General features: G+C 40.6%; 1 protein-coding gene across 1 annotated transcript in view, besides 3 other annotated features; it reads right to left on the bottom strand.

The window, feature by feature from the left end:
- The window catches only part of OTC (ornithine transcarbamylase), a 95,245-nt gene that overhangs the window by 71,392 nt on the left and 2,651 nt on the right, over positions 1 to 21,202 (bottom strand). Inside the window, exon 2 of the mRNA NM_001407092.1 lies at positions 1,748 to 1,846. The gene's annotated coding sequence lies outside the window, so the exon portion shown is untranslated. The remainder of the gene's footprint in view (positions 1 to 1,747; positions 1,847 to 21,202) is intronic.
- Positions 8,172 to 8,316: an enhancer, noted in NCBI's record as "145 bp enhancer 122 fragment used in the MPRA reporter construct; PK_construct_1733". NCBI's record gives its function as "activates an SV40 promoter by MPRA in HepG2 cells {active_cell/tissue: HepG2}" and the evidence as "EXISTENCE:reporter gene assay evidence [ECO:0000049][PMID:23512712]".
- Positions 8,238 to 8,251: a transcriptional cis regulatory region, noted in NCBI's record as "HNF4 motif; enhancer activity is reduced when this motif is scrambled". NCBI's record gives its function as "necessary for full MPRA enhancer 122 activity {active_cell/tissue: HepG2}" and the evidence as "EXISTENCE:site-directed mutagenesis evidence [ECO:0005528][PMID:23512712]".
- Positions 19,405 to 19,597: a silencer, noted in NCBI's record as "fragment chrX:38191193-38191385 (GRCh37/hg19 assembly coordinates)". NCBI's record gives its function as "represses an EF-1alpha promoter that drives an FKBP-Casp9 reporter gene in an ReSE screen in HepG2 liver carcinoma cells {active_cell/tissue: HepG2}" and the evidence as "EXISTENCE:reporter gene assay evidence [ECO:0000049][PMID:32094911]".

Raw genomic sequence — 21,202 nt, 5'->3', positions numbered from 1 at the left:
GATGACATCATCTTTGCAGAGTTCACAGTTCAGTAAAGGTGGTATGATTTATAAACAAATATCCATAATACAAGCCCATAGGAGAGGTCCAGACAAAGTTGTCTGGCTTCGAAGAAGCGGGAGCCCTCTAAGGTAGGAAGGGTAGGAGGAAGGAGAGGAGGGGCAGGGGTAGGGCTGCCTCTTCTGGTCAATTTATATGACTTTAGCAAACCCAAGTAAATATTTTCCAGAAGTTTGTGGAATACCAAAAAGTGTTATTTAAAGACCAACTATGGCCACCTCAGGAGCCGAGATGTTTGTGATGTCATAATTAATACTAGTAGAGAAATAAATATTGTCACCATTTCCTTCTACTTACAGAGAATGATGTGAGATAAAGTGAGGGGAAAGACTGACATTTCCCAACCTCTACCAAATCTTCCATTCTGGAAAGGATATTCCAGGCAGAAGCAACTGCTTGCAAAGGTACAGAGGTGAGAAGGGAGAGAGTGAATTTAAAAAACATAATAAAGCATCTTTGAAGAGGCAAACAAGGCCAGTTATTGAATAGGTTTCAGAGAGCAAAAGCGCTCCACATAATACAGGAGTGAAATTGAACGTTTGCATGGAGCCTGAGGGAGATGAGGCCAAACCACAGGCTAATATAAAGCCCATAGCTTGACCCCATATCTTCACTGAACTGTGCTAGCCATACACACAACTCATATTGGTAATGCTTGGGGAGAAATCAAGAAGTGTCTGCAGTTCCATGCTAGAGAGTACAGGCAGCATTTCTGAGATGCCAAAGCAACTCACAAACCCTCCTAATGCTACAGATGCAGGAGCTCAAAGCCAGAGGGAACTAAAAAAAAGTTAAGATACCAATAACTCCCAGAGGGATTGGAAAAGGGGAGCTGCATCACAAGTGGGATGAAGTTAAAAGCAATTTCACTGAATCTCAAAAGGCAGGGCATCTCAATGAACTTGTTGAGGGGTAGATTTCAACTACCCAGCTTCTGCTGATTATGTCACATGTGGAGTCTGTTTTACTTTACAGGCTTTGATGTTCATCCTCAGAATTCATCCAGGGGCTCTTGTTGACCCCATGATTCCTCTAATTCAATTTTAACTTTCTTGTTTCACTACCTATCTAGTTCTCTTTGTTCACCTAGCCTTTCATTCATCCATTTTTCTCTGCCACCATCAACAATTGTGCAGCCATCATAAGCCAATCCTCTGTGCTGTGTGGGTTCTGAGAGACAGAGTGATAAAACAGGAATGATGAGTTCCTTCCAATATTCACCATTTGGAATGACTCCAGAATACAATTTCTGTCTCTGCTCTCTGACCCCAAACATCTTAACCAGGTGGAGGGGCTTGTTACCTGCTCCCTTGCTTCAAGCCACAGGAGACCTCCAGCTTGACGTGACCCTCTCCTAACTTCTATCATCAGGGGGTGGGGATTAGATGGGGTTCCTGAAAAAGGTGGCACTGATTTTTGATGAATTGCAAGAATCAGAAAATAGTCAAAACTGGAGGGAGCTACAAAGGATATTGTAGCAAAAAAAGGAACCTGTGAGTAGACCTAAAGGAAGGAACAAATAGAGTGTGTAGGGTAAAAACAAATGATATATAACTGGAAAAATACATTCCATCATTGGCCATTGAAATGAAGCCCCACCACCACCAAGCACGCTATGAAAACAAAAAACTACGAGTATCTGTGTCTTGTTTATATCCCCTTGGCATTCGGTCTTCCCCTACATACCTGCCACTTCTTAATGCAAATACCCACTGCTGTCTTCTTGAGGATAAACTTCTCATATTCCTCACTCTTTGTGTGGGTGGCTTTGTCCATTTTGTGTTGCTGTAACAGAATACCACAGACTGGGTAATTTATAAAGAAAAGTTGATTTGGCTTACAGTTCTGGAGCTGGGAAGTCCAACAGAATGGTTCCGGCATCTGCAGAGGACCTTTGTGCATTGCCATTCCATGGCAGAAGGTAAAGGGCAAGAGAGGGTGAGAGTGAGAGACAGAGAGGATTGAACTTGCTTTTATAACAACCTATTCTCTTGATAACAAACCCACTCCTGTGATAACCACATTAATCTATTCATGAGGACAGAGCCTTCATGTTCTAAACATCTCTTAACAGTCCCACCTCTTACTACCATCACAATGCCACTTAAATTTCAACATAAGCTTTTCAGTTGACATTCAAACCATAGCAGTGGCAACTATGAAGCACATTCTACATGCTCCCCAAAAGGTCCCCAGTGGAATTGAACCTCAATTGCCCACAGTAATAACCTGCTCATCAATCTACCCTGTATTAGCCACCTTCCCTTCCCTGTCTCATTTCCCTCACTACCCTGCCAGTGCTTCCTGGGACTACCTCCCAAATCAACTACTTGAACCCAAACCCCTTTCTCGATGTCTGCTTCTATGGAAACTCAACTTTTGCCCAGATCTACCTTCTCAACAGTTTTGCAACACAGCTTCTTCTTCTTTTCCCCCTGGCCCTCCTATCTTTGAGTTGGTACCTGAGCTTTCTGTGTCAACAACTTGGTCCCCAATACCATATTGCACCCTCACTCTCAAGTTTAGTCCCAGTTATTCTGTAAATAGTGGTATGCTGGTAAATGTTTAATAACTAGCTCTTCAAAACAAAAGCTCTGAATTGTAGCAGTCTGACTTGTAAGGTGTAAATATTCCCATCACAGCCAATTTCAAGCTACTAATGTGACATCACTGAACACAGAGATGAAGAGAGGTATAAAAATAGTTCTTAGGAGATCGAGACCATCCTGGCTAACATGGTGAAACCCCATCTCTACTAAAAATACAAAAAAATTAGCTGGGTGTGGTGGCGGGTGCCTGTAGTCCCAGCTACTTGGGAGGCTGAGGCAGGAGAATGGCGTGAACCCAGGAGGCGGAGCTTGCAGTGAGCCGAGATTGCGCCACTGCACTCCATCCTGAGCGACTGAGCAAGACTCCATCTCAAAAAAAAAAAAAGAAAAAAAAAGTTCCTGCAAGCTACTGTGAGCTGGCTCCAGTATACCACTGTCTACTACTCCCACCCAGAAAGGAGGATTTTCTCAAGGTTTGGAAAGAAATATTGAAGCCAGATTGCTGAGGGCCTTGAAAGCCAGATTATAGAGTTGAGAATTTAATCGGTAGTCAAAGGAAGATTATTAAAGTTTTGGAGCTGGGGCAGACAAGAAGACATATGTCATTATTTGCATTGGGTTTTGAAACCATTAACCTGGGGCCATTGTGTGAGAAGTACAATGTGAAGAAAATAGAGGCAAAGAGACAAAGAGGTTATTGTGTGACAAATATGAGGCCTGAATACATATTAGGGCTGTGGAAATAGAAAACAGGAGATGGATGCAAGAGCGATTTAGAAATTAGAATTCGCCTATCATGAAAATTGATTGGATGTTGAAAGAAGGGAGACGAAGAAGTTAATGAGATGCTAGGATTTCACATTTATCCTATTACTGAGAATAAAATTCCAAATAGCCAAATGTTGCTATTGGGGATATAAAGAATGTTAGTTCTCTGACATTTTGAGCTTTTAAGTATCTGTATAAACTTGAAATATTTCTTTGAAATTGCCAGTGTGCTTCCCTAGTGAAATCCAAGCATTGAAGAGGGAATCAATGTGATATAAAGGAAAGAATGATGAGAATGATGTTTGAAGATCAAATGTGACCTCTGGCTCAGTCACTCACTCCTGGTGAATTTGGCTAAGTCATTCGGTACCCTCAGAGTCCTCACCTGTCCAACTAAATAAAATGAGTTATTATGGTGCTGTGGAAATTTTAACATGCTAATCAAACATGAGGTATAGTGTCTAAGAGCCCGGGCATAGATAGCTATTATCAAAAAAATACTGCAAATTTGAGATCCATACAAACAAGACAGATGGCGATTACTGCAGTGCGAAGCTCTGATTTGTTTCAGAGTGTTACTAGTTACATAAATAATTTTTATAGCTGGTTGCCTAGAATCTTTAAGATCCTAAGAAGCCGCAGCATTTGCATGCAGTACACACTAGTTAAGTCTTCCGAGTTCTGTGGGACTGTTGCTGGTGAGCTATTTTCCACTGGATATGGACAAAGAAGCTTGTATCTTTGTCTGAGACCAGTAGCCACCCTGTGACAATGAGAGGAAGTAGCCTTATAAGGAAGCTGTGGTTGGCTGAGTGGAAGAAGGAAGGAATCTTAGTCATTTAGGACATCACTGAGTTGCAAAATCAACCAGCCTCATGAGTCTCCCTACCACTTGCCACTTCATTATGTGAAATAGCAAATGTCCTCATAGAAGAACAATCCCTCTGGATTGGGGTTTTCATTACTTGCAATCAAATGCATGCTAACTAATACACAATTTGGCTTAGGTGTTTGAAGGTTTGTTTCTTATATAACAACAGGAAAAAAATAATATTCTAGAAGTGGATTCTAGTTCAGAACCTATTTATTGGTTGAATAACCTTGGGGAAGTCAGTTTCCTTATCTGCAAATGGAAATCAATACTCTCTTACAATTTTTCTTTTGTTAAATGAATGTACTTGATATGTTTTATTATTTAAAAAATGCTTACATCAGTATGTAATAAACTTAACATTTTTTAGCCTACAGTGCTATGAGTTGTAACACATGTGTAGATTTGTATAACCACCACCACAATCAGAATACGCAATGGTTGTATCACTCCAGAAAACTCCCTTTTAAATTCCTTTGTAATCACATCCTCTTCTTTTCTAATCCCTGGTATATTGATCTTCTCCTCTCTCCCTTATAGTTTTGCCTCTTCCAGAATGTGACATAATTGGAACCATACACTGTGTAGTATTTTTGGACTTGCTCCTTAGCATAATGTCTTTGAGATTTACCCATGTTGTGTGTATCACTAATATGTTCCATTTTATTGTTGAGTAGTATTCCATTGTATCGTTATATCACAGTTTATTTATCCATTCCCCCATTAAAGGACAATTGAGTTGTTTCCCGCTTGAGGAGTTTGTAAATAGAGCTACTACAAACATTTGCATATAGGTTTTTGTGTCAACATAAGTTTTATTTATCTAGGGTAACTATCTAGGAGTAGAATAGCTGTATATCTGGTAGTTATATGTTATGTTTAACTGTTGAAGAAACTGTCACGCGGTTTTGCAGAGTTAATATACCATTTTGCAATCTCAGCAGTAATGCATGAGAGGTCCGTTTGTTCCACAACCTTTCCAGCATTTGGTATTGCAAATATTTTTCATTGTCACCCCAACAGTTATGTAGTACAAATTGTGGTTTTAATTTGCATTTCCCTAAAGGCTAATGATGCTGAGCATCTTTTTGTGTCCTTATTTGCCGTCCATTTATCTTTCTTGGTAAAATATCTGTTAAATATTTTACCTACCTTTTTTTTCTTTTGAAGATAGAGTCTTACTATGTCACCCATGCTAGAATGCAATTGAAACCACCTTTGCAAAATTATGACTGAGACAGTGAAAGAGATCTAACTTAACCGAGTCCATCTTGCTTCTAACCTCCAAGCTGTCTTTGTTCATTCCTGGGCAGAGGCTGAACTAACTTTGGGAGAAACTTAGTTCACAGTTTATGGTTTAAACAAAGACGATAATGGCCCTTTCCCAAAGCAGACCTCCTTCCTGCTTGGGGACTAGATTGCCTTTGTAGTAGAAATTACGGTTTAGGGTCGGGCACGGTGGCTCATGCCTGTAATCCCAGCACTTTGGGAGGCCAAGGTGGGAAGATCACTTAAGGTCAGGAGTTCGAGACCAGCCTGGCCAACATGGTGAAACTCTGTCTCTACTAAGGATACAAAAATTAGCCAGGTGTTGTGGCACATACCTGTAATCCCAGCTACTCGGGAGGCTGAGGCAGGAGAATCACTGGAACCCAGGAGGCGGAGGTTGCAGTGAGCTGAGTTCTCACCACTGCACTCCAGCCTGAGTGACAGAAAAAGACTTCGCCTCAAAAAAAAAAAAAATATGGTTTAGGAGTTATGCAGCTGGAGGCTACAAAATTCTGACCCTCCCTAAACTGCTCCTAAAATCAGTGCTTGGGGTATCAGTACTGCACTTGATGGATCAGCTGGCACCACCAGATCAATAAACTGGCTCATCTGATCTTGTGGCTAATGTTAGTCCTACAAAGGAAGTCTAGTCCCCAGGCAGGAAGGAGGTCACTTTGGGAAAGGGGTGTTACCGTCTTTGTTTAAACCATAAACTATAAACTAAGTTTCTCCCAAAATTAGTTCAGCCTATGCCCAGCAATGAACAAGGACAGCTTGAAGGTTAGAAGCAAGATGGATTCGGTTAAGTTAGATTTCTTTCACTGTCTGTCATAATTTTGCAAAGGCGGTTTCACAATAGTGTGATCATAGATCACTGTAACCTTGACCTCCTGGGCTCAAGCGATCCTCCAACCTCAGCCTCCCAAATAGCTAGGAGTATAGGTGTGTGCCACCACACCAAACTAAATTTTTTGGTAGGTATAGAGTCTCACTATGTTGCCCAGGCTTGTCTCACATTCCTGGTCTTGAACAGTCCTCCAGCCTTAGACTCCCAAAGCACTGGGATTACAAGCGTGAGCCACTGAGCTTGCCTGACCCCTATTCTTCTTCTTTTTTTTTTTTTACTTGAATTGTTTATTTTCTTAATGTTTAGTTTTGAATGTTCTACATATATATTCTGGATACAACACTTTTATTGGATATGTAACTTGCAAATGTGTTTTCCCAGTCTGTTGCTTGTCTTTTCAGTCTCCTGACTATGTTTTTCACAAAGCAAAATTTTTAAATTTTGATCAAGTTCAATTTACCATTTGTTTCCTTTCTCTGGATCATGCTGTTGAACTCTTTGCATAACCCAGGGTAACAAAGATTCTCTCCCTATGTCTTCTGAAAGTGTTGTAGCCTTACATTTTCCATTCAGATCTGTGATCCACTGTGAGTTTTGTCTAAGGCTTGAGGTTGAGATTGAGTTTTTTTTTCCACATGTGGATGCCCAATTTCTCTTTTCTTAAGAGTCCTCTATGTCCCAGGTCATATCTAACGTGCTGAAGGACCCAAAAATCTTCATGTGTTAATATTCTAATATTCCCAGAATGTTTTATAAGCTGTAAAGCTCTGCTCTGTTGTGAGACGGTATTGTTTTGCGGCTTGGACCTGTGTGGAAACTGGCAATAAGAAATAAATTAGAATTATTATAGTAAAGGAAATCACCCATTAGCTGGCTCCTTTTTTTCTCTCCACGTGTGTGTGTGTGTGTGTGTGTGTGTGTGTGTGTGTGTATATATATATATCACCAAAAGAGCTCCTGATTTACAGAGAATCTGAGAATTACTTTATTTTTTATTTTTTATGTTTTTTGTTTGTTTGTTTGTTTGAGACAGAGTCTCGCTCTGTCACCCAGGCTGGAATGCAGTGGCACAACCTCGGCTCATGGCAACCTCTGCCTCCTGGGTTCAAGCGATCTGAGAGTTACTTTCTAATTAACAGATGGTAATGGTAATGGTAGTTTGTCTAAAAATATTGATTCAGGGGTGTTTTCTTGCTACATCACCACTAGGTATTTATTCAAACAGGTGGGCCCTAGGGGAAATTGTGAAATCAGTGAGGATTATCTCTGACCCCCTCTCCATCCCTTTTCCTGCCATACCCTTTCAATTGAGGCATTTGAAGAAGGTAGACAGGGTCCTTCATAAAGGCTAAAATTCTGAACAGAGTGTGAAATGCCAATCATCAAATTCAAGTATAATCTCGCTTCTCTCTTGTCATATAGACCACATTTCCATTGAAATCATTATTCTGTTAATCATTTGCCCTGGAAGTTATTGATTTTAAGCAGAATCCAGAATTTTTTGAGCTTAGATATGGACAAAAGTCTCAAGTTTCCATACCTGGTTCTTTTTATTTTGTGATCTGGTAAATTTCTGCACAGAAGACAAGATTAGGAAATGCACAACACAATTTATGAAGTAAGAAAGGGGTAAATAAATATGGTTAATGACCCAACCTTGTGTCAGAGGCAGTTGAGATGCAAAGCACGAGGTTCTCTTTCAAGGATGCCCTTTTATCTCTTCAAGTTCCCACACAGAATCCTAGAGCTATCTCTTCTCCCATAGGCTGATTCCAATTCCTCCCCATTGGAAGTACAGAGGTTAAACTGCATAAAGGAGATTTGTTAGCAGACTGAAAGCTATCAGGCACAGAGCAAACAGGGAAATCACAGAGGTTCAAAGTTCACCAGTGTCTCAACAATCAGCCCTAATGCTCCCTGTGACTACCAGACACTCCCAGGACCTGAGTGATGGGGATCCCATGAGATCATTTTCATTGCTTTCTACTGACCAGGGTTTGGTCTAGGAGCACTGTCCCAGTAATAATTTTCATGGCAATATTCTCCCCTTGAGCCCAGGAAACATGTCTTGGATGGCTTCAAAAGTCACTGCTTGGTGAATGCCTTCTCTGCCCATTTCTACTTTTTGGTGAAACTTGAAACCATCTTTGTAGTTGGTGCCTCTCTTCAGACCCTACTTGGGAGGTGCTCTTGACCTGCTATTGATTGCTTTATTGGGCTATATCTACTAAGCAGGGGCTCTGCCCTCACCTTAAGCTAATGATTAAACACAGCCTTCTTCTCTCAAGGCTGCTCCACTGGTAACAACTCTGTGGCCTGTAAAGATGGGACCTATTTAGGGTCTGGAAGATAGACCATGGGAATCCTGTCTTCAAGATTCAAGAGAAACAAGCCCTTTTCATGGGGCTTTGTTGAGTGTTTGGAGCCTAGGTCATAGGTGCTACATATTCACCATTATTGATTTATTCCTCCAGAATTTTTCAACTGGAGTTCACCATTTCTTCCAGGGAACCAAGGAGTTCATGGATTTCCAGGTCACCTTCATTGTTATGCAATGTATTACCATTAAGAAGTAAGCGAATCATCTGGCAAGCAGTACTAGCAGCTCCTACTCATAGCTTTGTTGTGAGTATGAAATGTAATAATGAATAGAGAGTACTGTAGCACAGTACCTAGCTCAGTGTTCAATAAATGTTAGCTTTTGTTAACTACTACCATTGGCACATGTGGTGAGAGGCCCCATCCCTGGCTCAGTTCTTGGCTTATTCTAATCACTTTCCTACAAATAAAAGTGTTGAGGTGTCCGTCTTTCTTTCATACCCCCACCCCACTCCAGAGCTGTATTAAAAGTGAAATTCAGGCTGGGCATGGTGGCTCACGCCTGTAATCCCAGCACTTTGAGGCGGGCGGATCACGAGGTCAGGAGTTCGAGACTAGCCTGACCAACGTGGTGAAACCCCGGCTCTACTAAAAATACAAAAATTAGCCAGGCATGGTGGCGGACACCTGTAATCCCAGCTATGCATCGAGAGGCTGAGGCAGGAGAATTGCTTGAACCCGGGAGGCGGAGGTTGCAGTGAGCCGAGATAGTGCCACTGCTCTCTAGCCTGGGCGACAGAGCGAGACACCATCTCCATTAAAAAAAAAAAAAAAAAAAAAAGTGAAATTTAAGAAAATAATAAATTTAAATAAAATAAAATAAAGAATAAAAAAAGACAAAAAACAACAAACAAAGAAATCACACTCTTGTCGTCTAAACTAGTGGAAAATAAAAAGGAAACAGTGCTTCTTACTGAAGACCTATGATGTGTTTTCTTCTTTCTTCTTTTCTCTTTTTGCCTAAATAATGTGAAAGCCAGGAACTTTGTTCTCCCTCAGTACAACTGTCTAACGTTACAAGTTTCTAATCTTTTATTGTCCTTCTGTGACCCTGTTATGCTAACCAACCTATCCCATTTAAGATGAAAATAAGATAAAACAATAAATGACTGTTAAGTACTTCAAAAATACAAAAGACTCTAAATGCCAAGAGTGATTATTGCCTTCCGGTGTAATGAAGATGCATAATAAAAATGGATCATAAAATCCCTTCGCTACCATGGCCACTACTCTTTTTGCCAGTTAAAATTTACAATTACAGTCTGTTTATTCAAAGCAACAGGGGACATGGAAACAACTCAGTCATTTTCTAAAGTAGGTTCCCCCAATCACTTGAACACAGAATGACTCTAGAGACATCAGTGATACATTTTTCAAAATCCATATGAAAATAACACATCATCTTCAGTGTCTAATAATGTCACTGAAACCTCCCCACCCCCATATTCTTTTTATCCAATGTATATGTTGTTCACATATCATCTTCTGTATGTATTGGTTAGTTTATATTACTACGAGGTATTTTTTCTTATGTGCATCATGGCAATAGGAAACTAGACAGAGAGAATAAATAATCCAGATAATTTTGGGTTAGGAAGGGAGCAAAACAATATGAACAATTTCACAGACATAACATTGAGTGAAAAAACTGGATATAAAAAAGTGTGTTTTTCATTTACAGAAAATTCAGAAACTGGCTGGGCGCAGTGGTTCACACCTGTAGTTCTAGCACTTTGGGAGGCCGAGGCAGGCGGATCACTTGAGGTCAGGAGTTCAAAACCTGCCTGGCCAACATGGTAAAACCCTGTCTCTACTAAAAATACAAAAAATTAGTGGGGCATGGTAGCAGGCGCCTGTAATCCCAGCTACTCAGAAGGCTGAGGCAGGAAAATTGCTTGAACCCGGGAGGCAGAGGATGCAGTGAGTCGAGATCGTGCCACTGTACTCTAGCTTGGGTGACAGAGCAAGACACTGTCTCAAAAAAGAAAAAAAAAATCAGAAACTGACAAAACCAATCTATGGTGATAAGAGGATACAAGAGTGGTTAGATTTATAATGGAACGTTCATTAAGAGGGCACAAAGGAGGCCTTACTTTTACTTTAAAGAACCATATTATCTGCATATTATAACTTTGATTCTTCTTATTTGTTTCATAATGTTTTACATATGTTATTATTCTACCAAAAAATTAAATACTATGGGGGGTAGGAAATAAGCATTTTTGCCTTCTACCTAATTTTAAAAAGAATATCCTGGTTTATAATTTCTCTTGTTTAAAAAGAAACATGCTTGATCTTGTTTGCAAAAAAAAAAAAAAACAAAAAAAAAAAAACAAAAAAACAATGAAGGGAGCAAACTGTGACTGTATTCTTTAGTTTAGAAGAAACTATTTGATCAACTTAAAGTTAAAGCTATTTGCTAATATTCCCATTATAATTTCAAGTGGAAAAGCATTTTAAACCTGCCAGATGTAACTGCCATTCCTGGAAACCCACTTATTTCTCTGGGTCTGGGGAAGCTTGGGGACTTTAGTAGAATTCTACAAGTAATAAGATGTGTGGAGGGATGCAAAAAGTGGGGTTTTCATTGGAGGGTCTGAACATATTCTCGACCTAGGATTCAGGGTTATTTTCAACCAAATTCATACAATAGTGTTTCACAATTTTGAAATTTACCACAATTTTCAACACATTCTGTACTATTTTCTTCTTTTTCATCCCAACACTGCCCTTTGATTTGACAAAGTGATGTTGGCACCTGACACTATTCCTTAACTTTATTAAGTGAGTATAATTAAAAGTTATTTGCGTTCAATTATTTGCTTATCTGCTTTTTTGATTGTGCTTTCTCTTTTCATCAATACCAATTTTAGCTTCATTTAATCAAACTGGTGAAATAATTAGATAGATAAGAAATGTAAAGTAAAACTGATGCATCAACCTTGATAAGACCCTAAGGTCTCCTAGAATATCAACTTCCTTTATCACCATTCTCCCTAAGGTTCACCTTGATTTTTATATGCATTTTAACTTTTGTGGACTGGGGTGGAGTGGTTACTGAGGGGTCCATTAAAATAAACATAAAACGTTAAAGGGTAAGTAAGGTAAAAATGCTTTAATATCAACTATTATAGGGGAATTCCATAAATATGTAGAATCTAACATATGTAAAAGTTTCATATTCAATAAGAAACTGGGTCAAAATGATCATTTAAAACTACCCATTAGTAGGAGGAGGGAGAGGAGCAAAAAAAAAAAAAAAAACTATTGGGTACTAGGCTTAGTACCTAGGTGGTGAAATAATTTGTACAACGAACCCCTGTGACAGGAGTTTACCCATATAACAAACCTGAACATGTACCTCTGAACCTAAAATAAGCATTTAAAAAAAGCTACCACTTAGATAAAGGGAACGATCTTGGACTATGTATGCATTTATTAAACTCCTCATGTAAGCATAGTACCTTCCTTACTAGATTTGTGAGAGGTCTAAGATGACAGAGCATTAGACATAGATGGATTAGATACAGATGGGCCCTGAATATCTTAGTTTAACTCTCTCCTCCAGAGGACCAGAAAGGTACAGTGATTTCCTTAAGATTAGGTAAAGGTGGGAGAAACAGAAAGAAAGCAAGTGTTGAAGTGAGAAATAGAAAACAACTTCTGGACTCCTAATGAAAGCACTTTCTACTACTGATTCAGACAAAATAAGTTTTCATTGCCTGGCATCCGAACCCACCCCCCAACTAGTTCCCCTTGTGTGAGTCTTAGTGTAAAGTATTACTCCCTTTCTCCACCCGCTGCTAAGCCAGGTCATGGGCACATGATCCAGTCTGGAATGCTCCCCACCTGGGGCTTTGGATCTTGAAGGACTAAAGTAAAAGAGGCAGTGAGATGAGATTTACCAACCAATAATGCTGACTGTGTCCCGTGGCTAGCAAGGCCTTGCCATGGTGTTTAGGTCCAGCAGTGGTTGTGGACTTCAGCAAAGTCAGCAGCAACATCCTAACCCAATTTCCTGCTGCCTCTCTTCCCTAGTTTCTCACCTTTGCCCAAGTATTTCTCTCTAGACTTTCCGTAAATTCTATGCATTCCCTGATGGTTTTTTGCCTTCTACCTAATTTTTCAAAGAATATCCTGGTTTATAATTTCTCTTGTTTAAAAATAAACATGGTTGATCTTGTTTGCAAAAAACAAACAAAAAAAGGAAGGGGGCAAAGTGTGGATGTATTATTTATTTAGAAGAAACAATTTGGTCAACTTAAAGTGATCCCACTAAATCCTTTTTATTTCTCAAGAACTCTGACGGATTCAGAAACCGGTGTCACAAAACAAGCCACAGGCAACTGACTCTCAGGGAAAATTAAAAATCAGGACTGGTTGACTGACAGTAAACTGAACTTTAGAAACACAGCTGCAAAACAACTTAAACAGTTGCCTATGGTCACCTGGAATGCCCATTGAGAGTATGATTCAAGAATAGTATAAAGGGCATGAGGAGTTCAATGACAGCTGATGAGGTGGCTATTTCTTATAACAAATAGCTTAATGGTGAAAAAAGTCATTTGCCTCAGCAGATCTGAGATGGTCAAAGATAAATTCAGACTTTGGTTTGATCCTGCATGCTGATCAATTACAATGTCAGTAGTACTCACAGCCCTGACAGGTTTCTTAGGTGGATATTGTGGCATTATCTGAGTTAGATTGAAAGCTGGAAAATTGACATGGAAATACATGAGAGGATTTAGAAGACCCCATGAATGCCAAACCCTTAATTCTCATTAAATCTCTTTTGCCAGCTTCAGAAATCTCTCTTGCTTTGTCTGATGAAACTGTTCTTCCCTTGATTGAAGATGCTTTTTTTTTTAACCTGAGGGAGTTACTTGCAAGAGAAAGCCAGTTCTCATCATCCTCCTGTCTTCTCTATCATTTCCCAAGATTGTCAGATTTCAGCATGGCCCTTGGAGGACGGTAGCAATAACAAAGTCAAAAGCCAGACAAGGCCAAAGAGCTTCCAGATTTCTAGTTTATAATGGAAAAAATTCAGGGAATTGTGTATGGGAATAGAGTGTAAGGATGATTGATGAAGGTTGAGAAATGTAATTATAGATTGGTCTGGATCCAACAATTCAAGATTCACTGTAGGTCGAGCATCTATACCGAATCCAAGCGGTGAATACGGCAAACGCTCCCAGTGAGCAAACCTTCAAGCAGTGCCTCTCACTGCATTTTACGTGGAGGGAGAGAAGACCAGAGGCATAGACCTATACCAAATCATGATCAGGGGTTAATGGTTTGGCCAGATATTTAGGGACATGGAAGGAACAAGATTAGAGACTGGAGGCAAGGAAATTTGGAGAAAAATGTAGATGGACTTTTCAGAGAGTGAGAATATTTGTTGTCCCTTGTGAATGCATATCAGAAGGCACACAGTGCAGAGGAGTCTCTTATGTGTGTCTCATCTTTTACTCTGTTAAAAAATGTTACATTGCATTTTAAGGATATAAATACAATATAAATGTTTCCTACATAAAGAGCAGCCAAGGAAAACACAACATTGTATTGAGAGACATGCATCTTCAATGAAGGTTAGGTATCAACAAACCAAGAGGTTTCTACCAGGAAAATGTTGACTAAGGCATGCTATTTGGTGGGCCTGTATGTGTTTTTTTGACGGCCCAGCATTTGAACTTACAACTAGATTTGGTGATCTTAATGCTGCTCTCTCATACAAAGATCTGGAGAGATAAAGGGGCTTTCCAACGATCAGGAAATGGAGGAAGGAAGGAAATGAGGGAGAAAAGATAGAGAACTGGAAATAAAAACACAGATCTCTGTACTCTTGTCTGCTAGTTTCCTGTTGCAGATTAATAAAGATTTAGGAGGTCACTGTTAGTGGAGACTGATCTTTTTTTAGAGGAGAGAGAACTACCTTGTTTCTGAGCTGTTTCTTAATATCTACAAATCTCTAATTGTGTGAGTCTTGAAAAAAAGCAGAAGTGCAATTCCTACCAGGGAGGGCAAAGGCAAGCAATATTCTTTCTTCCCACCCCTTGGCAAACAGGGTGCGGGCAGGTGAACTAGCCTCGGCCAATTGAATACTCCCACCTAGGACTTTGCTCTGGAGACTATGACTGAAAAATAAAGGGACAATAAAATTAAAAGTATGGTGAAAGCGGTACCTGCATCCAGCAGTGGTGTCCTAGCCAGATTGCTCCTGCTGGGTAGCTTTTCTTGATCTCTCTCTTTTTTTTATTTTTATTTTTTTTATTTTTGAGCTTCATTTCCCACTGATTGTGTGCACCAGCTGACAGCCTCAAATACTAGATACCTATGTATGAAAGCTGATTTGAAAGCTCATTTGCATGGCTACATCAATGAGCTCTCATATCTTCTAGCTTCTGGTTGGGTTTGGCCAATGAAATCACAGCAGGAGAATGGAGGGAGGGAGTAGAGTAAAGTCAGAATTTTTATTCTCCCCTTTCTGTAAGGACATCTTGGGTTGGCTTGCTCCTTAATAGAAATTCACTGTTTCTCTCAAGATATACTGCTCTACACAACTCTCTTTCCTTCCAAGTTCTAATAAACTCTCCATTCCTTTCTCTCTTTGGGCCAAAGAATAGTAACAGGTCTAATGCTGTTATCCCTGGATCTTCTGCACAATGCCTCATGGTTGCCCCAATCTCCTTCCAACCCCTCAAAATTAGTTCTTTTATAAATAAATCCTTCTCAAATTATCCTAACAAGAGGGTGTAATCTGTTAGTTGGAAACCTGGTTGATATGCCTTCAAGGACATTTCTTTTCTGGTTAACTTTGTGCCAAAGAAACCCAACAGACTTAACACTCTAAAAGGGGGTTAAAGAAGGAAAAAAAAAACTCAGAGTTGGGATCAAAGGTGAAATTTTTAGTGAATGGTAGTAAATGAGACTGAATTTTTTCAAGGGACCCTGTTAGGAAAAAGTCGCCCACAGAAAGGCATAGATAAAAATGGCTCAAAATACACTCAGAATTTTCAAGCCTGATTCCCAATCACAAAGGGCAGTGACTAACAGCTGATGTAAAAGGGAGCTTCTGTTCACAGATATACAATTGCTGAACAGTTGGGCCATTCATTTTTAAGTGTCTGACAGTCAGTTAGTCCTCCCTTTCTTCCTCCCTCCCAATTCCTATAGTGCTTTGCACAAAGTAAAATGCACATAGGTTTTTCCAGATGTCTCCTCCTCAATTTTTTCTGTCAGAGACACAGCTGTGCCATATTTGCAATAATGCAGCATGAAAAAGCTATTAATCTGGCTCCATCTAGATGCACCATGTCTAACTGCAGGGCTGCCTGCAGCTTAATTACAGGAGTGGGTAGGAAGCAATGAAATTTTAAAAACACAGCCCATGAAACACAAATAATAGGAATTAAAACTCTGGGAGAAAATAAGTAATAAGTAAAGAGCTTGCTGAAAACCAGACACTGCAGGTTTTGTACACATCATATCATTTAAACCACACAACAATCCTGCAAATTAGGAGGTGTTATCCTGATTTACCAGAAGAAGAATCAGAGACAGAGAGTAAGCAGCTTGCCCAGATTACTAAAGTAGTAAGTGATAAAGCCTGTAGTCAAAACTGTGCTATCCCAAGCCTATTCTCTAAACTGGGGTGCATGTCCCCTAGGGCAGTGGCCCCCAGCCTTTTTGGCACCAGGGATCAGTTTCCTGGAATACAATTTTTCCATGGACCAGAGGGTGGGGAATGTTGGGAGGATGGGGCTGGTTTTGGGATGAAGCTGTTCCACCTCAGATCATCAAGCATTAGTTAGAGTCTCATAACGAACGGGCAACCCAGATCCCTCACATGCACAGTTCACTATGGGGTTTGTGCTCCTATGAGAGTCTAATGCCTTCATTCATCTGACAGGAGGTGAAGCTCAGGCGGTAATGCTCTACCGCTGCTCACCTCCTGCCGTGTGGCCCGGTTTCTAAGAGACCATGGACCAGACCGGTAGAGGTCTGCAGCCCCAGGGGTTGGGGACCCCTGCCCTAGGGAATGCTCAAGACAATCCATCTTGGTGGAACAAAACAAATAATATAACTTTTAATTATGTTTATCTCACCCTTTAAAATCTTTTGTTTTTTGTGTATGCTTTACAATATACACAATATAGTAGTACAGTAGCACATGCATACAAATATATAAATACACATGTATTGCTTCTGCTGAGTAATCTTCCTTGATCTCTGGCTTTTTTTCTCAGCCTCATTCCTCAATCTTCTGACTTGAGTCTGTGCACCAGCTGATCGCCTCTAGTGCTAGATATCTACCCAGGAAAGCTGACTTGCATGGGCTACATTAATGAGCTCTCATGTCTTCTGGCTTTTGGTTGATTATAAATGAAGATGTGTAAGCTAAAAAGTCTGAAGACTGCTGTTCTGTGCTCTTTCAAGAAGCAGTAGAGTGTAGTTACTAGGAACATAGATTCTGGAACCAGGCTTCCTGTGTTCAAATCCCAGCCCCCACCATGTTTTCGCTGAGAGACCATGGGCAACTTAACTTTTTCTCTTCTGTAATACGGGAATTTAAAGAGTTAATACATAGAGTGCTTAGAACAATATCTAGCAGTAATAAGAGATATTAACCTAAGCCATTATCATCATAGTACATGATCCTTCAAAGTAGTCATTCAGGACATTACCTATTCATACAACTGCTGTCACAGACACCTCAAAATTCTTCTTTTGAAACTCTACCCTGAGGAAGGAAAGTGCAAAATTTCTTCTCTGGCGTAATAAAATGTGCAGTAGACTGTACCTGCCTTCTGTTTCTTGTTCATGAATAAAACTCCCTGGCTTTGGACCTATGAGTCCTCAAATCATATATCCTAGAACTGCACTAAAAAAGTTTAGAAATCAAAGAAGTAATTAGAATCTGTTTTGTAAATGTATATGCTTATGGGATTTCCCAGCGGAGTTTGTAGAGACACACCTGTTTATCTGATTCCATATAGAGAAACAAACAGCGATGGCAGCTGCATTGTAATGCTACTTAAAATTGCAAGCCTTGGACGTTTTGTTGAATGCTGTCGAGAAAGAAACAAATACAGCTAGGAAGCATAATCCATCAAACGTCTTCCTTGTTCATACATGCCTCTATTTCTAGTTGACATACAATGCTCCAGAAATGAATAACAACTTGAATTAATAGAGGCAACTGCTAAGACTTGTGCACGTTGTCAGACGTGTCATGGCTTCTGTGTATCAACATGATTTCCTAAGGAGCAGAGGAATATTTGGCTGTGTATGAAGGCGACACCGAAAGCATGCGTGACTGTTGAGAGATATAAAATTATACCTGCCTTCTCCAACATGAGGGAGGTGGCTCCACAGGCTTAAACCATCTGACTGCAGGGATTGTGGCAGAGCTGTTTACTACTCACTGAATGTCCACTGGCTCTCCCACATTTCCCAGCCTCTCTGCAGTGCACAGAGGCACATGACACTAAATCCAGCCAATGGGTTGTGAGAAGGAAAAACATGTTACTTGTGGCCTGAAACATTTCCGTTTATATCTTTTTTTTTTTTTTTTTTTGAGACAGAGTTTTCTCCTTGTTGCCCAGGCTGGAGTGCAGTGGTGCGATCTCGGCTCACTCCAACCTCCGCCTCCCGAGTTCAAGTGATTCTCCTGCCTCAGCCTCCCAAGCAGCTGGGATTACAGGCACCCACCACCACGCCTGGCTAATTTTTTGTATTTTTAGTAGAGACAGGGTTTCACCATGTTGCCCAGGCTGGTCTTGAACTCCTGACCTCTATCCACCCGCCTCAGCCTCCCAAAGTTCTGGGATTACGGCATAAGCCACTGCGCCCAGCCTGAAACATTTCATTTCTAACTTCCTCTCTCTCTTGCCCTGCTACAGCAACCAAAGAGGTCATGTGTTGTATATGATGTTGCTACAAGGTAGTTGAACTTCCATATGTAGCCTAAGCCCCTGCTTGAGCAGGTAGAGCAGATCCTCCAACTGACTGACCCACACTGGAAATGTAGCATTAGTGAGAAAGAAACTTCTTTGTGTTAAGCCACTGAGATTTGGGTGTTGTTTGAGCTGCAGCATAGCATGGGTTATGCTGACTAATACAGTGAGCTGCCTTTGCCTTATTAATAGCTAACACTGTTGAGTGCTCCACTATTCCAGGCACCAAGCTATAAGTTTTGCATGCATTACCTAATATTTCACAACCACCTTCTGGAATAGACTATAGTATTATGTTATATGATATATATATATATATATATATATATATAAAATCTAGGGCTACAGCATAGCTATATATACACATCATATATATCAGTGGTCCACAACCTTTTTGACACCAGAGACCAGTTTTGTGGAAGACAAGTTTTCCACTGACAGGGGATGGGGGGTGAGGGGAAGGGTGGGGATGTTTTTGGGATGATTCAAGCACATTACATTCATTGTGCACTTTATTTCTATTATTATTACATTGTAATATATAACTAAATATACAAATTTATGTTGGTATACATTATGTTATATACAAATATACAACATAGTGTAGAATCAGTGGGAGCCCTGAGCTTGTTTTCCTGCAACTAGAGGGTTCCCATCTGGGGGTGATGGGAAACAATGACAGATCATCAGGCATTAGATTATCACAAAGAGCACACAATCTAGATCCCTCCCATGTGCAGTTCACAACAGGGTTCACACTCCTACAAGAATCTAATGCTGCCACTGATCTGACAGGGGGTGGAGCTTGGGTGGTGGGGAGTGACTGTATATACAGATGAAGTTTCACTTGCTCTGCAGCCCTGTTCCTAACAGGCCATGAACCAGTACAAATTCGTGGCCTGGGGTTGCGATATATATTATATAGCTCTGGATCATATATATCAATAGTATAGATGGCCAGGCACAGTGGTTCATACCTGTAATCCCAGCAGTTTAGGAGGCTGAGGTAGGCGGATTGCTTGAGCTCAGAAGTTCAAGACCAGCCTGGGCAATGTGGCCAAACCCCATCTCTACAAAAATACAAAAATTATCTGGGTGTGGTGGTGTGTACCTGTGGTTCCAGCTATTCGGGAGGCTGAGATGGGAGGACTGGTTGAGCCCGGGAGGCAGAGGTTGCAGTGAGCTGAGATTGCGCCACTGCACTTCAGCCTGGGTGACAGAGTGAGACCCTGTCTCAAAAAAAATAGTATATAGGACAGGCGTGGTGGCTCACGCCTATAATCCCAGCACTTTGGGAGGCCGACGTGGGCGGATCACCTGAGGTCGGGAGTTCTAGACCAGCCTGACCAATATCATGAAACTCCATCTCTAAAAAAACAAACAAAAAAAAAAAACAAAAAAAAAACAAAAAAAAAATTAGCTGGGTGTAGTGGCGGGTGCCTGTAATCCCAGCTACTCAGGAGGCTGAGGCAGGAGAATTGCTTGAACCCGGGAGGCAGAGGTTGCAGTGAGCCGAGATCATGCCCCTGCACTCCAGCCTGGGCAACAGAGGGAAACTCTGTCTCAAAAAAAAAATACTATATAGATAACATTTATATCCTGTTATGCTAGAAATGTATCTCCTCCTAGCTAAGGCCAGCCCCTCTACATGGGGTCAGGATGACACCTCCTCCTGGCTTAAATTATTATTTTTATAGGTTTATTGACCCTCAGCCTCTGCGTATTTGAGAACTTGCTATTCATTAATTCTGCCATTCAACAGATATTTATTGTGTAGCTATTATGGGCCAGGTAATAGTCTGGCACTGGAGTACAACAATGGACAAACCTCCCTGCCCTCATAGAACTTGCATTTTAGTAAGCTATGTACCAGACATAGTGCTATGTTCTGGCCAAAGAGAGGTAGTGCTTGCAATGCAGGAAATGAAAGAACTCAGTCTAGTGGAAAGACAGCCACAAAATCACATCACACTGTATAATAAGTGCTGTGATGAGGCATGTGAACGTCCTTGATGCATGAAGGGGTCATGTGGCCTCATTGCAAATTTGGAGAGGGCTCCCAAAAAAACACAACACAGCCTCAGAATTGAATGATGATGAAGCAGAGATTGCTAGGGGGCTCTTTGGAGGAGGCAAGAGCATCCTTGAAGATGTGTGTGCATTGCTGCATGGACTTGTAGGGGACCCTCAAGGGTCCACACACTTTCATACTGTAGAGCTCATGTGAATTTGCAGTACAAATGTGGCTCTGGAACTGACGGTTCAATCCTGCATCTACCACTTGATAAATATGGGACCTTGCAAAATTATGTGATCTCAACCTCAGATTCTTCTTCCCAAAAATGAGACTGAAGTTAGTACTTCATTTAGGGTTCCTGTGAAGATTTGATGAGATCAACTATGGTGTGCTAGTTTTCTCTTGCTGTTGTCACAAATTACCATCAACTTGGTGGTGGCTTAAACAATACCCATTTATTATCGTACACTATTGTAGTTCTGAAG

Source organism: Homo sapiens, chromosome X, assembly GCF_000001405.40.
Source record: "Homo sapiens chromosome X, GRCh38.p14 Primary Assembly".
In the NCBI taxonomy this organism is placed as follows: Eukaryota; Metazoa; Chordata; class Mammalia; order Primates; family Hominidae; genus Homo; species Homo sapiens.
This window is presented reverse-complemented; position numbering and strand designations above follow the sequence as displayed.